Source organism: Homo sapiens, chromosome 16 (assembly GCF_000001405.40).
Source record: "Homo sapiens chromosome 16, GRCh38.p14 Primary Assembly".
NCBI classification, from domain to species: domain Eukaryota; kingdom Metazoa; phylum Chordata; class Mammalia; order Primates; family Hominidae; genus Homo; species Homo sapiens.
Window position 1 is genome coordinate 86,760,478 of NC_000016.10, and position 16,388 is coordinate 86,776,865.

General features: G+C 48.2%; 2 long non-coding RNA genes across 2 annotated transcripts, besides 2 other annotated features; one reads left to right on the forward strand and one right to left on the reverse strand.

Annotated features, from left to right (window-relative positions):
- Positions 1-1,020: 1,020 nt before the first annotated feature.
- On the reverse strand, positions 1,021-3,548 carry LOC105371392 (uncharacterized). The gene is made up of 3 exons (XR_933864.4): positions 3,015-3,548; positions 2,256-2,326; positions 1,021-1,460 (listed from the first exon to the last, which is right to left on the reverse strand). It is a non-coding gene; the product is annotated as an uncharacterized LOC105371392 (long non-coding RNA).
- Positions 3,549-8,894: 5,346 nt separating this feature from the next.
- Positions 8,895-14,513, forward strand: LOC107984819 (uncharacterized). The gene is made up of 3 exons (XR_001752396.2): positions 8,895-9,417; positions 10,117-10,286; positions 10,374-14,513. It is a non-coding gene; the product is annotated as an uncharacterized LOC107984819 (long non-coding RNA).
- Positions 12,159-12,677: an enhancer, noted in NCBI's record as "H3K4me1 hESC enhancer chr16:86806242-86806760 (GRCh37/hg19 assembly coordinates)". NCBI's record gives its function as "activates a minimal SCP1, AML or CMV promoter by ChIP-STARR-seq in naive and primed H9 embryonic stem cells {active_cell/tissue: H9 hESC(naive and primed)}" and the evidence as "EXISTENCE:reporter gene assay evidence [ECO:0000049][PMID:30033119]".
- Positions 12,678-13,194: an enhancer, noted in NCBI's record as "H3K4me1 hESC enhancer chr16:86806761-86807277 (GRCh37/hg19 assembly coordinates)". NCBI's record gives its function as "activates a minimal SCP1, AML or CMV promoter by ChIP-STARR-seq in naive H9 embryonic stem cells {active_cell/tissue: H9 hESC(naive)}" and the evidence as "EXISTENCE:reporter gene assay evidence [ECO:0000049][PMID:30033119]".
- Positions 14,514-16,388: the final 1,875 nt, after the last annotated feature.

The window sequence follows — 16,388 nt, forward strand, 5'->3', positions numbered from 1 at the left end:
GTTTTTTTTTTTTTGAGACGGAGTCTCGCTCTGTCACCCCGGCTGGAGTGCAGTGGCGTGCTCTCGGCTCCCTGCAAGCTCCGCCTCCCGGATTCACGCCATTCTCCTGCCTCAGCCTCCCGAGAAGCTGGGACTACTGGCACCTGCCACCACGCCCGGCCAATTTTTTTTTTTTTTTTTTTTTTTTCAGTAGAGACGGGGTTTCACCGTGTTAGCCAGGGTGGTCTTGATCTCCTGACCTCGTGATCTGCCCGCCTAGGCCTCCCAAAGCGCTGGGATTACAGGCGTGAGCCACCGCGCCCGGCCAATGGCTTCCTGTTGTAATAGCTGAGGTGGCCAAACGACAGAGGGAAAGGGGGTCACCACATTGCGTGCGGGCCCTTATGGTCGCCCTGGGGAAGCTGCCTATGCTCCCTGGACCTCAGCGTATGAGCGGGGGAGCAAGACCCCTTTCACGGGGCTAATTCAGGCTCGAGGCCTCCCTTGGCATCCTCCACTGAACAATACTCTAGGTGTTCAGTAGCTGGCGCTGAGATTGCAAGGCGCCCGAAGGAGACCCTGGAGCACGGAGGATTGCTGCGGGATCTGGCAGTCCCCTTGACGCTACAGCTCTTTTTCTCTCTCTGCTTTCTTTCCCAGACTGACAGGGAGAGTGGATTCTGCAGAAATAACCAGGAAGGGCCTGTGAGTCTGGGGAGCGGCCACACCAAGCCTGCTTTCGGTGGGGATTAACAGGGAGGGAGAAGGAGGCGTGTGGCTGCTTGAAGTCACGGAGGACTCAGAGGAGGACTGGGAAGGAGCTGCGCAGATAACGCTCCCGAGATCAACTCCTGGTGGTCGGGGCTGGAACTGCAGCCAGAACCCAGAACTAGGGGGAGCCTGTCAGGGAGGGCAGGGAGCCCCCCACCCGGGAGAGAAGGGGCACTCTCCTTCCACTGGGCTTTTACTAATGCATTGGTCTCCATTTGAATTTCCTCATGTAAGCAAGTGAACAAGATAAAAATTCAAAACACCTGGTGGTTTCAAACTTACTCATTTTTTTAAAACAATGCTACTAATAAAGATGATGGCAGGAACGATGGAGTCCAGATGAACCGCAGCAGCCAGTTCAAGTGACACATTCGCATCCCTTTCTTCTCTTTGGGGAAAAGGAAAGGCATCAGCAGTTTCAAGTCATTTAATACAGATTTCCATCATTGTTATCCTAAGCAGAATCACTGTTATCGCTGTAATAACATTTGCCCGGCATCCCCGCAAGCTGGGTGCCGTGCATCTGGTGGCCACATTGTCTGCACCAGAAGCCTGCAGAGTCGCCGGCTTTGACAAGGAGGGGGTGCTCTGTGGGGCGAGTGGGTGCGGTCAGGGAAGACCGGCGGCTTCTGTCCCGAGGGATGGATTCCATTAGGCGGCGTTTCTCAGGGTGTCTCCGAGGCTGGTTGCATCACAATCGTGAATACCTGCTAATTACATCAGAACGAAAAGAGACTTGCATTTTTTAAGGCAAATTTTGCAGATTCTTCTTATCCACGTGGAAGCCTGAGTGTCCTTGCTTTGAGCCAACACAGTATCTGCTGCACTAACATGGAAAATCAGAATGAGGAAGGCAACCAGGACAAGGTGCTCACGGGGCTGCCCGGAGGCTTTTTTTGTTTTGTTTTGTTTTTTTCCTTTTTCTGCTCTTCTATGGGGAACAGAACAAAAAGTAGGTCATGAAGAAGCAGGAGAACAGGGAGAAGCACAAGATGAGAGGTGTGAGGGAGGAGGGGAGACGCCTGCACAAGGCTCATCTAGATAGAACCAGAGGAGGGTGTTGCTGGCCGTGCTCATGACCCGGAGGGGGCCCTGCGGTGTGTGTGGGGAGGGGGTGCTGAGAGTGGACGCCCAGAGGATATGGCGGGAATGGGACAGCTGCTTGTATTCACCATGTGCCCATGGATCACAGCGTTTCTGTCTTGGAGATGAAAGTTTTCTATGCTGGGAGGTGAGGGGGCTCTCAGGTCCTCAATGTGGTGGTTCCGGATTCATGGTCTTTTTGGAGGGGTTAGGAACCCCTCTGAGAATCTAGCACAATCTACGAGCATGCAGAAATGCCTGTGTATATTCACATTCCAGTCCATTTCAGAGGCTCACTGGATCCCTGAAACCCACTGCCTAGTTACTCCAGGTTGAGAACCCCAGCTCCAGCTCAAACCCCTATTTCACAAGGGAGGCAGGATAGCTTTGTGGTGAATAACACGGGTCTGGAGTTGAATTACCTGGTTCCGATCCCAGCTTTGTCACCCACTTGGGCCAGTTACTTCACATCCCTGTGCCTCAGTTTCTTCATCTGTAAAAATGGATTAATGCTCATGTCTACTTCACGAAGTTATGATGGGCACAGTTCTGTATGACATAGCCAAAGGAGGGGTTTTGTGCAGACAGGGAGGAAGGACTATTCATATTCAGCAATTATGATTGCTGCTGTCATTGTTATTACTATTGACAAGCAAACCTAAGCCAGGGAGGAAAGATAATTGGTCCAGGTCACAGAGTGTCCAGAGTGTCCCATGGTGGCCCCCACTTTGGGGCTTTTCTCAGGCTCCCCCCACCTTGTTCTCTGCCATCTCTTTTTTTTTTTTTTTTGAGATGGAGTCTCACTCTTGTCCCCCAGGCTGGAGTGCAGTGGCGTGATCTCGGCTCACTACAAGCTCCACCTCACAGGTTCATGCCATTCTCCTGCCTCAGCCTCCTGAGTAGCTGGGACTACAGGCACCCGCCACCACGCCCGGCTAATTATTATTATTATTGTATTTTTAGTAGAGACGGGGTTTTACTGTGTTAGCCAGGATGGTCTCGATCTCCTGACCTCGTGATCCACCCGCCTCAGCCTCCCAAAGTGCTGGGATTACAGGCATAAGCCATCAGGCCCGGCCCATCTCCTCTTCATCATGGGGCACCCCTAGAGGGCAGGACTCCTTCCAGGCTGAGAGGAGGGATTGGAATACTTTGCTTTCACATCTGGGCTCCCTACACACCCTTCTCCAGAAGAGGTGTCCACGGCTCCCAGCAAGAAGAGGACATTTCAGTGTTCTTTCCGCTCCAACTCCCACGGAAGCTGGAGCTCCAAATGCAGCCAGCACAAACTATCTCAAATCACAAGGGTCCATTGGAATAAGCTTGTGGCCGTTAGCTCAGGAAAATGGAAACCAGTGAAGCCTTGCTTCTTCTGATCCCCACAGACCCCCTCCAGTTGAATGGGAGGTCACTGAGCTTGCATCATTTTCTCAGCATCCAAAGTTTTCCTCTGTTCACCCCAGCACCCCATTCAGTATTCTCAGTCAGTGTTTGTGGGGGTTGTAGCTAAAAGTTCCAGTGTGGAGCCGCAGTCACAGCCTGCAAGCACATCTCCATGACAGGCAATTTTGATTTCAGTTGAACAGAAGCAAGCTTCAAGTTCCAAAGAAAGCCAAGTTGCGTGAGCAAAATGCTTACAAGATTCCCGAGTTCACACATCGCCTTGAGATTGTCCCAGAAGCCTTCCTGAGAGGTAGTGGCCGCCTGGGCAGTCTGCTTGGTGATTGGGAATGATGATGAAAGCCTGGCCAGTGTGTTGGGCGGGCTTCAAGTGAACACATATTATTGGCTGATTACAGGATCGGACGGTTTAAAAATGTACCACGTCGTGTTCTTCATGTTCTTCACCGGCCGTGGGTGGAAAGATGTGGATGAAATGAGAAGCAGCTTGAATGCATCTCTAAAAGATGCCAGGTGGGCTTTGTGATGTTAATTCCCACCCCCGTTTCTGGGCAGGTAAATTTTAGCAGACATAAGGGGCAAAGCTTATTACCTTCCATATTCATAAGTTTTTCTATCTGGAATAAACCAGGAAGTAGTGGAAAATGTGCAAGAAATCTCTCCAGATGTGTTTCTAGAGCAAAGAGGTTGGAACCAAGAGATCTTGAACCACTGACTAACCTCGGATAACTTCTGAGGTTAACCCACCCATCCAGTGAAGATGCAGGTTGGTACCTGGTCTTTGGCTAGCTGTATCTGAGGGTGCATCTAGGAAGGGCTAGTTAAAAATGGACTCCCTCGGTTTGTGTTTTATTCTAGATCAGTTATGGCTTGCATGGGCTCCAGAGTGTGAGATCTGGAGCCAGGCTGCGTGGGTATGAGTTCTGTTTCCCGCTTCCTTGCTGTGTGTCCCTGGGGAAGTCAGCTAACCTCTCTGTGTTTTGTTTCATCATATGTAAAGCAGGGATGGTAAAGCTACTGTATCACGTGACATTGAAGATGGGGTCAGTGCATGTAAAGTGCTTTGTACAGTGCCAGGCACAGGGTATAAGTGCCCTTTAGGGACATGTTATTATCATTACTGCTACGATAATGCTTCAGACAGTACCCATTAGTCAGCAATGTCAGAGGGCTATATTGGGTGATTCCAGCTTCTTCTTTGGGAAATAGAAAGAGCTTGAAAGGAAGCTGGCAAAACCAGGAAGAGAAATGGGTGTCCCTATTTTTGAGAAAATGTCACTAGTCTTTCTGAGCCCATTTGCTCCATCTGTGAAACTGAAGGCATCTAATTAAATTAGGTCTTTAACATTTAAAAATTTTCTTTCTTTCTCTTTCTTTCCTTCTTTCTTTCTTTCCTTCTTTTTTGACATTTAAAACATTTCTTTCTTTTTATCTCTTTCTCTCATTTTTTTTCTCTTTCTCTATCTTTCTTTATTTTTAGAGACAAGGTCTCACTCTGTCACCCAGCACCCAGGCTGGAGTGCACAGTGGTGCAATTATAGCTCACTGCAGCCCCAGACTCCCGGGCTCAAGCAATCCTCCCACCTCAGCTTCCTAAGTAGCTAGGACTACAGCCGCATACCTTCATGCCCAGCTATTTTTTAAATTTTTTGTAGAGATGGGGTCTCAGTATGTTGCCCAGGCTGGTCCTGAACTCCTGACTTCGAACAATCCTCCCACCTCAGCTTCGAAAAGTACAGGGTCATTGAGTTTTTGAAAGGGCCAGGAATTAACCAAGGACTCTGTCTACCTGAAATGTGTTCTTCAAGCAAATCTCTGGGGCCTTTCCTAGACCTGGTAGTCCATCGCTGCCGTCCTCTTATGACTTTGGAGTTGAGCTCTGCCAGTCCTTTGGAGTGCTGGTGCTTGTCTTGTTCGGGGCCCTCAGAAGCAACCTTGATACAAGGATTCTGGCACAAATCATTAATTTAGGAGGTGATCCCAGGAAACACCAACAGGGGAGTGGACAAGTAAGGACATGACCCAGGGAAGGGGAGGACCCTCTGTGAGGGGGACGTCATTAGGTCAGTGTTAAGCAATAGGAAACCATACAGCACAGACCTTGGAATTATCCCACCCAAGGAGAGGGAGCTGGGGTATTTATACACCAGCTGTCACCTGACATTGGTTCAAAACTACCCTGAGGGTAGGGATGCCCTGGCACTCCAGGGGCTTTAGATAGCCCTCAGCCAGTGGGTTTCAGGTGCTGGGTCTGGATGTGGTTAGGGTGAAGGCAGTACCTGACAGCAACTGCATTTGCTGTAAGACCTTTCAGGAAAATAGTTCTGCCTTTCCAGGGTGTCTTGACTTCCTCCTTCGTTTTGATTTCTTTGGTGTTTACATTCCCAGTGTGTAATGATTCTGCCTTTGTGTTTTCTACTTGTTTTACTAGGTGTGTCTTGTGCCCTGTCTGCATATGAAGTTCTTTGAAGGCAGAAACATGGTTTTTGCTGTGCTCAGATAACAGAGCACAAACTATAAACATAGATGTGTTCAGGTGTTTCCTCTACCCCCTAGGGCCACTACAGAATATTCTGGAATGGCCAACCTCTTCTCTGCCTCCTTCCTCTTCCTCAAGGAATGTCTTTTCAGCTAATAAGGAAGCAGATGTATGGCATAACAAAGGAATGAGGGGGCTGGAGATAGAGAAAGGTGACCCAGAGTGGAGTTTCGGAAGCAATTGTAGCCCTCATGCAGTACCCAGGTGTGAAGGCAGAATGGATGCGGAAAGGTCTTCTGTTGGGGATGGTGTGCCCAGATCCTTTTGTGGTTTTGGAGAAATGTAAGGAAAGGATATGAGAAATTCTAAAATTTCTTTTGATTTTTTTTTTTTTTCATTCAGGGAGCACATGGGCAGGTTTATTGCATGAGTATATTGTGTGATGATGAGGTTTAGAGTACAGATGGTCCTGTCACCCAGATAAGTGAGCATAGCACCCAGTAGTTAGTTTTTCAGCTCATGACCCCTCCCTCCTCTCTCTAGCAGTCCTGGATCCTATTGTTGCCATCTTTATGTTCATGCATATTCAATATTTAGCTCCCACTTATAAGTGAGAAAATGCTGTATTTGATTTTCTGTTCCCTCATTAATTCACTTAGGATAATGGCCTCCAGCTGCATCCATGTTGCTGCAAAGGACATGATTACGTTCTTTTTTATGGCTGCATAGTATTCCATGGTGTATAGGTACCACATTTTTTCAATCCAATCCACCACTGATGGGCACCTATGTTGATTCCACATCTTTGTTACTGTGAATAGAACTGCAGTGAACATGTGAATGCATGCGTCTTTTTGGTAGAATGATTTTTTTGCCTTTGGGTAGTATATACCCAATGATAGGATTGCTGGGTCAAATGGTGGTTCAGTGTTAAGTTCTTTGAGAAATCTCCAAACTGCTTTCCAGAGTGGCTGGACTAATTTGCATTCCCACCAACAATGTGTAAGTGTTCCCTTTTCTCCACACCCTCACCAGCATCTGTTATTTCTTGGCTTTTTGGTAATTGCCATTCTGACTGGTGTGAGATGGTATCTCATTGTGGTTTTGATTTGCATTTCTCTAATGATTAGTGATGTGGAGTATTTTTTCATATATTTGTTGGCTGCTTGTATGTCTTCTTTTCAGAAGTGTCTGTTTATATCTTTTGCCCATTTTTAATTGGATTATTTGTTCTTTACGCTGTGTATCTTTGAATTGTAACAGTTTTTGGAAATTGAAACACATAGACTCTGGGCTTATCAGGGTTCCAACTGTATTTCCCAGAAAGCAAAAATATATATGCCACAGGCACCCAGTAAGATTACTGAATGAGTTGATGGCTATACACTTTTAGAGCTGAAATATACCTCACAAACCCTCTAGTCTAGGAGTCTCAAACTCAAATGCTTCTGTGAAATGCCCAGATAAAACACAGGATGCCCAGTTACGTTTTAATTTCAGATTAAAAATTAATACTTTTAAAATATAAGCATGTTCCAAATACTACACAACACATACTTATACTAAATTTACTAAATCTGGCAGCCCAGCTTTCGGACATGTGCCAAACATAGAACTTAAAAGAATGAAATGCAGGGCCAGGCACAGGGGCTCACGCCTGTAATCCCAACACTTTGGGAGGCCAAGGCGGGCAGATCACCTGAGGTTAGGAGTTCAAGACCAGCCTGGCCAACCATGGCCAATATGGCGAAACCCCATCTCTATTAAAAATAAAAAAATTAGCTGGACGTGGTAGCAGGCGCCTGCATTCCCACTACGTGGGAGGCTGAGGCAGGAGAACCGCTTGAACCCAGGAGGTGGAAGTTGCAGTGAGCCACGATTGTGCCACTGTACTCCAGCCTGGGTGACAGAGGGAGACTCCATCTCAGTCAATCAATCAATCAATGAAATGAAATGCATCATTAGACAACAGAGAGTGGTAGGGAGTGGAGAAGTTTTTAAATCAGTGAGCACATGCCCTAAGTGGGCAAAAACCCATCTTCTGAACCACAGCCATATTTTAAGTAAAGAATGTGCAGTGCAGATGCAGTGCAGAGAGGAGAAGCAATGAACCAAAGAACGCCTGTGTAGCCAAGGCAGAGGGGAAGCCGCGTTCGGGATTCCTCACCCCGGCCACCGTCCCTCCCACTGTGTCACTGTGGGAAGCTGTGTGTGCGTCAAAATGTGCAGCCTCAGATGCTGTCCCTCCCACCTTCAAAAGGGCAGTTGATGAACGACTCTTCAGGGTAATTGCAATTTCATGGATCAGGAGGTGTAGCCAGTTCACATTTTTTTCCCCCGCAAGATAATTAAGCCATTACCAGACTCTGAGCCACAGAGGGATTGTCTTGGTCTCCCGTGGCCTCCGGGGCACCCTTCCTTTTCTCCCTGACGCAGCCAGCTGTATGATTTTTCTCCCATTGTTGCCATGTGAGGTACTCTTGATAAAGGTATTACAATAGTAACGTTGTGTGATGTGGTCCAGCTTCCTGGGCAAGTCATCCCCCATTTTTGTGTCTCAGTTTCCTCATCTGCAAGAGAGAATTGAACAGATAATCCCTAAGGTCTCTCTGATCTGTAATGAGGGTGATTAGATGCCTGGTCTCTAATGAAAGTGACCAGATGCCTGGTCTGTAATGAGAGTGACCGGTTTGCCTGGGGAGCTCCTGATTTATGCCCGTTGCTCAGTAGGGACCTCAACAATGTCCCCCATTACCCTCCAAAGTGTCCCCATTTGCATGAAAAGTCATGCCCCCCCTCCAGCCAGTGGTGCGTGGAGTCTACTCAGACCTGCTTTTCAGGGTTGATTGTGCCTGGGTTCCGCACTCGAAACTGGCCATGGTGAGAGTGTTTACACCACAGCCAACAGCAGGCCCCACAGATCAGAACTTCCCCTGTAGAGCTATTGCTCAGCATCCATCAGCACCGCACCCACTCTGGCTCTAATGATTGACTGCTTTGCATACATGTCTGGGCCAGCTGCCAGGTTGTCAATGAGCAAACTTTTGACAACAAAGTCCACTAAAAAGAAATACTTTGGTGACGATCCAGTTGGCACAATAAGTATTTTGGTTATTCCAATGACTGAACCATGAAAATTCCACTCACTCCAGTGTCGGTCCTGGTGCTCAGTGGTTACAATGAGAACGAAAGCAAGACCCACTGGTTTTGAGTGTGTTTTTCTGTTTCACCATTTGGTATCCTTGAATTGACACAGATACTGGGAAACACAAAGTGTTGGCCATAGCAGAGGCTCCCAGCACTCTGGGGGAAAGAAGAGCCTGGAGTTGCTTATTCCTACATCTCCCACTGACCCACTGACTAGCAGGGTGACTGTCTTTCTTGATCTCAGATGCCCACTTGAAAAAAGAACAGTAAAAATACAGCCCGTACCCATGTGTGAACAGGCTGCTGATGAGGTCTTCCCTCCTCATGTCTAGGCCTTCGGACTGCAGGCCTTCTCTCCTAGGGGTCTTTTCCCACCCCCACACTCAGGAGCGTGTACAGATGTTCCCTCTTCCTCCAAGAAAGTGTACCTGAAATATGCCATACGTGTGCCCAGGAGCCACAGCCACAAGCAGGGACATCTCAACCTCAGGACCTCTGCATGGCATCATCAAGGAGCCAGAGACCCAGAAAGCCTGGATGCCAAAGGTCACGTGGAGGTGAGTGACCACCAGGAGCAGAAATGAGCGCTCCCGTCTCCCAGGAAGAATGAAATCCGGGTGGCCTTGTCGCTTGGAATAGTAGAGGCCCTTAGAGGTGATAAAGTCAACTCAACTCATTTTACAGATGGGTAAACTGAGGCTGAGAGTGGGGCAGGGCCCCCAGGGAAGCAGTTCTGCATGGTGGTGAAGAGTAAGGAGCCCTCAGTAGGACTCGGTTCCCCATGAAACCTGCCACTGGTGAGACACCTAGATTTAAACAAGTACTTAAGCTCTTGGCTCTCAGTTTGCTCATGTGAGGAGAACACCAGTTTCCACATCTTGGGGGTGGTTGAGAATTAAATGAGACACATTGCCTGTAAATGGACAGCATGAGATGGTAATGCAGGCTGGGGCGGGACCCCGGGCAATTTGCTCATGGAGAGTTTGACGTTATTAATATATATATATATTTTGCTGTGGCTGTAGTTAGTTGCCTTCTCAAGATCTATTATCCCCCTAGATTCCTAATAGGAATCTGAGCCTTTTAGTCACATGGTTTGTGTGGGCTCAGGGGCAGTTTGGGACAATCACATGCTCTGTCTTCTTTGACGCTGTTATGGATTTAAGAATGAGGTTGCTACATAAATTAGTGAAATCGGAGCGGATCTCAGGACTTTCACTAGATGTGATGGGAAGACCCCCTCTCTTCTGCTGTAGGTAAACAGGAAGCATAGAACCCCAGGTGCTGTCAGGAGCTACCTGACAACCACATGGGAAATCATTCCGAAGGTGAAACTGCCACAGAGAGCGAGAGACACAGCCCCGGTGACTTTATCAACCTCTGGAACAAACTAGCCTGAAGCCCTTCCTATCTCTTGACTTTACAGGTACGTGGACAGGTAAATCCCCTTTATTGTTTAAACCAGTTTGTATATCTGCTACTTGCACCCTAACTGTTGATGTGATTTCCCAAGGTCACATAGCACCAGAGCTCAGCATCTTCAGCTTCTCAATAAATAAGAGAGTGCATGAAAAGCAGCAATATACAGGTAATCCTTAAAAAGGAAAGCTTCTCCCTTCTTCCCTTTCCTGTTGCAGTCAAAGCAATTTCACCTACACCATCAAAAGATGGATTTCTAGATTGCTCATGGAGAAATATACTTGTTAGCCTGGACTGTTTGGGGCTTTTTCAAATAGTTGCATGCCTTGGGAGATACGATTGATAGAAGATGTGGCACACGAACCATTTGGAGTACAGAGAGGCACTGGAACACTAGCTACTGGGTTGAGTTGAAAACTGAGAACCGGTTTAGTTAAGATTTTATTAATTACTTTTCCATGATTCCACTTGCTGCTTGGGACTCGCATAAGCAAGGATAGAGAATCCAATGGAAAGGCATTTTCATGGGTTGGAAAGCAAATCTCTCCTCCACAGTGTGATTCAGGGACCCAGGTGCCTCCCGCTTGGTGGCTCTCCTCAACCCCAGCTGGAGTCCCTGTGGGACACAGGGAGCTCAGGAGCTTCCATAAACAGGGATGGGAAAGACAGACACCTTCATTTTCACTCGCCTCTAACTGACATATAGCTTTGGTTCTATTATGAATGCCGGAAACAGACGGCAGTAGTATTAGCAGCCCCCGTGAACTTTCTGGCTGTGGAAATCAGATACTTTCTCATCACATTTCTGCTGTGGATATCATGAAACTTTGTCTACTTTCATTTGAAATTGCAGTAGCTACTACATCCTGTTACTGAATGCACTGGTAAAGTGCACGCATGTTTATATGTTGCTCCATATGTTTGTATATATTTCAGTGTCATCAATTTCCTTTCTGCTCCTACATAGTTCTCAGATTTAAAAGCATTGTTCTGATAAAGTTCCAGAGACTTCACCAGATGTTGAAGGGTCCAGGGCCTAATAAAATTAATACGCCATACCCTGGGGGCTTGTTCTGCACATCTGCCAGTGAGAAGGAAAGGAGGGGGAGATGTCACCTCCATAACACAAGCCTTGGCTGAGATGTGACATGCACCACCCTCACTCAAACCTCCTCCAAGTGCCTGTCACCAGGGGGACACGGGGGCCAGGACATGGAGTGGTCGAGTGGGCAGCACCTGGCTGTGTGCTGTGGGAGCACTCTGCTTTCAACGGCAGGAAGGGAATGGGTTGGGGTGGGGGCGGGGTAGTGGGAGGCCCCTGTTACCAGTGCTAAGAGCCAGGACTGTTACAAGATTCAAAAGAGACCACCCATGCAATGCCTTTCCCTGGGCCTAAACACACTTATTATTATTACTGTGTAATTGTTATGCCCTAGTATGTCTGTTTCCCTGTGGGTTTCCCCCAGAGACTGTGAACTACTTGAAGCAAAGGGCTGTGTCTGATTCATCTCATTATTTCCAGCTTTGACCACAGGGTCATCGTTGTTCATTTGTCCCAATATTTGTGGGATTCCACTGGGAACAAAGTGAATTGGGACAAGTGAATAATGATGACATACAGTTGTTTTTCTGACACTTCTGCCCCCAGGAAAACAAGGCAAAAGGCCTGTGACTCTGTCTTCAGGCAGTGGGACATGTTCTTAAACGACGGAGCCACATCCATGCCTCTACCTTCCAGTAAGGTTTGCCTGCTTAAGCATACTTGTTGAAAATCAATTGCACATGAACCCTCACATGTACACGTGTGCACACACAGATGCATGCACACACATACACACATGCACACACCAGCCAGACACTGCCTCTTTCCTTCTCCGACTCCCACCCTGCCTCCAAGAGGAATATTTATGATTTTTAATAAACTGTGACCACAGCTAATTAGGCTCCTCACCCATGCCCCCAAGGCCACTAAGGGGCTGTGACGGTTGGCATTTCCTATCTCCAAGTGCAACGAGGCCGCACATGCCACACTGATGAACTCACGGTGTAGCAGACTCCATCCCTGCCGTCTGGGAGAATGCTCGTCTTTCAAACCAGATTAAAAGAAAACAAGAGCTGGGCCCATCCCAGCATCATGAGCCCAGAATTATGCACTTCACTGAAGTAGGAATGTGGCCCATTCATTACTGTGTGTCATCAATTAATGACTATGTGAAATACGGCCCCCAGGGTGTGCTGATCCCCCCAGAGGGTGGCGGGAGGGACTGCTGTGTGCTGCTGAGCTGGTTTAACTCCCCCGGCACGGAGAAGGATCTCCTGCCTGTGTGCCTTAGAGCTGCGTTTTGGGAGAGGAGCAGGGAGGTCCCCAAAGGGCGTGGGCATCTGGGGAGAGAAAAGCTGCTGTGGTTCATTTCCTGAACTCAGTGGGCAGCAACATGGAGTGGCCTGCCTCACCCAGGGGACCAGGCCAATGTGTTACATGCAATTTAGTGACAGGTATTAGTCGCTCCCGGGCAGCGACTGAACCATCCTGGCTCATTAACTCCAAGGACTGACGTGGCCAGCAGGGAGGAGAGGACTGGAGGGTCAGCAGTCAGCCTAGTCCCTTGCAGTGGCTGAAGGGATCCCATCTTCAAGAGACATTCGCAGGCCTGATGCTTCTCTGTGTGAGAGGGAGGGGAACTGAGGGTGAGGGCGAATCCTTGATCTCATTCCTGCTATGGTGCTGGTGTACATGGAGCCAGGCTGCTGGGCTGAGTGCCATGGCCGCATGCACCAGCCAAGGGACCAGGGCAGTGGCTTTGTAGCCTGTGTGTGTCTCCACTTCCTCCCCATGGAATAGAGATGACCAAGGTGGATCCCTGGCTCTAGGGTTGCTGGAAGCATCAGATGCACTCATTGGTGCACATGCTTAGAGCCAGCACAGGCACTAGAAGGAATGTAAGGGCCCGTTTTTATCAGGGATATGCTTGCAAAACCATCTGTGCCACAGAGACTATAGGTGAAAAACAGGTGTGAAAATCCTGATGACCCAGCTTCCTTTAAACTTTTTCTAAAGTTATACTGATTCTTCACAAGGGATGTATTGGTCAAGGTTCTCCAGAGAAACAGCTCCAACAGGATAGACAGGCATGTATACTGGAGGACATTCGTTATGGGAATTGGCTACTAATTTTTCATAATGGATGTATTGGGCAAGGTTCTCCAGAGAAACAGCTCCAACAGGATAGACAGGCATGTATATCGGAGGACATTCATTATGGGAATTGGCTCAGGCGATGGTGAAGGCCAAGGAGTCCTACAATCTGCTATAAGCAAGCTGGAGAATGGGAAAGTGAGTGGCGCAATTCAGTTCAAGTCTGAAGGCCTGAGAGCCAGGAGGGCCAATGGTGCAGCTCCCAGCCCAGGGCCGAGGTCTGAAACCAGGGATGGGATACTGGAGTAAGTCCAGGGATCCAAAGGCCCACAAACCAGGAGCACTGATGTCTGAGGGCAGCACAAGACAGATGTCCCAGGCCTGAAGAGAGAAGGAACTCGCCCTTTCTCTGCCTTTTTGTTTTATCCAGGCCCTCAGGGGATCGGATGGGGACCACCTACTTTGGGGAAGAGTGTTCTTTTTACTCAGGCTACTGATTGTGATGCCCATCTCTTCCAGAAACACCCTCACAGACACACCCAGAAATCGTGTAATCCCAGCTACATGGGCATCCTTTAGCCCAGTCAAATTGACATACGAAATTCACCATCACGAGCCCACCCTTCATCAACCTGGCACCCATGTGCATCTCCTTAGATCACACTCCATCATCTCCAAATAAAGACAAAATAAGGTGTGAATCCACCTAACATCAAACAGCTCTCCTGCATACAACCGGAAACACACCAGCCTCTTCCCCAGAGAGGAGATTAAGACCCTGAGTGTTCACTCCCGACATCTTATAACTTAACACGATGATGTCAAATTAACAATACTGCAATACTGATAGAAAGCCAATTCATCTTATGTTACATGATAAAGAAATATGAGAGGAAAGAAAACAAAGACATTTGCTGAATGTGTACATTTACACACATGTATTCATAGGAAGAAGAAGGAAATGCTCTTGTCAGGTGGCAAATGCTGTGTATGATATTCTGATTTCCAAAGGGTAAATTTGAACATTTTGTTTTTTAACCTGTTGAGAGTATGTTTTGTGCTGTCTTTACAATGTATTGAAGTATCTGTTTTCCTGGCAACTTCCTTTCATGATCACAATGGTTATTTATAAAGCTCCACATTTGCCCTACGGTGGGGCGCACCTTGGGGTGGAGGGTCTGCAGTACTGAAGCCGGCAGGCCAGGCGGCGGGTGGGTGGTGGGAGAGGGGGCTCAGATACTTCAGCCTTCTATGTGATCGATGTGTAGTGGCTGGGTCGCCACCCCAGCGTTTGGCCATTACCACATCAGAAAGCAATGAAATCACCCGGCGGGACTGTGAGGCAGATCGGACTTTTGAATATAAGCCCCTGTGAATCCTATCCATGGAACTTTCTCCATCACACCCTCTACGTAGTTGTCACACAGGGTGGACACTTGCAGAATTTAATGACGATCGTTTGAATGCATGACTTGCAACACAGGTGGGAACAGGTGGGAACGCCATTGGTGCTGACCTCAGGGCCAAGCAGGAGCTCCGCCGCTTTCTGCGGGAGTGGAAGGCTTCCCTCCCATTCCTGACCAGCACTTAATGGGCCTCTGTGGCCATCCTTTTGGTTTCCCCCAAGCCTTCTCCCCTTGACATTTTTTCCAGGATATGAACAGTGGTGGGTACTTGGGCCACCTCTCCACTCGGGCAGGAGTTGGCAGTCTGCACACACATCTGTTCTCCTTCCCTGAGACAGGCGCTGCCATCCGAGGGCGGGACCCGGGAGACAGAATGACATTTCCATGCAGGCTGCCATGGTGCTTAGGCAGGAAGGGGACGAGAAGGGGCCTCCCGGTGGCGGCATCTCCTGATGTAATTAGTCCTTGTGGACCTCACCTCCTGTGGCTTGCCGGCTCAGGGGCTGAGCATTTGTCAGGGCTGTGACGGGGACCCCCCACCTTGCAAGGGCGACATATGGCTGAGGAATTCGCAGTCCCAGGAGTCGGGTCTTGGGCACGCTCTGTTCCCAGATTCATCACTGCAGTGGGCTGAGCCGAGAGATGACTTCTTCGGGAAGCAGCTTTTCCCTGCTGCTGAAGTCCTTGGAAGAGAGGGCTAGGGTGACTCTAATAACCATCACGGGAACCTCCCTTCTTTTCAAAGGATGGGACTCAGTGAAAGCTTTTCAATTATTTCAGCAGGGCCTATTGAAGAATAATATTAGACAAGGCGCAAAGACTTCAGGATAATAGAAGAGCAGGGTCCTTACCCAGGCTGGAGTGCAGTAGCACCATCATAGCCCACTGTAGCCTCAAGCACCTGGGCTCAAGCAATTCTCCCACCTCAGCACCCTGAGTAGCTGGAGCTACAGGCATGCGCCGCCACTCTCTGTTTTTTGTTTGTTTGTTTTGTTTTGTTTGTAGAGGTGGGAATCTCACTATGTTGCCCAGGCTGTTCTCAAACTCCTGGGCTCAAGCGATCCTCCTGCCTCTGCCTCCCAAAGTGCTGGGACTACAGGTATGAGTCAACACACTTGCCTAATTCTTTCTTAAAAAAAAAATCGGTAGAGATGGGGTCTTGCCTCGTTGCCTAGGCTGGTCTCCAACTCCTGGCTTCAAGTAACCCTCCCATCTCGGCCTCTCAAAGTGCTGAGATTACAGGTGGGAGCCACCATGCCTGGCTAAAATGCAAGGTCTTATATGTAAGAAAAATTCTTGTTGTTTGTTAGCTTCTCTCAAACAAAATAAACTTTTAAAAAGCTATTATTTATATTTATTGAGCACTCTCCAAGTGCTAGGCATTCTGCTAAGCTCTTTAAATGTAGTTTAACTCCACAAAATTTCCAGCTTTATAAATTAAATAGGCTGAAAGTGAGTGATCTCATACGGTTCAAACTAAGACATTCCATTTCTTAAAAGTCTAGGTGATAATTGATAATATCCCTATTTTACAGATGAATAAATTGAGGGTCAGAGAGGTTAAGTA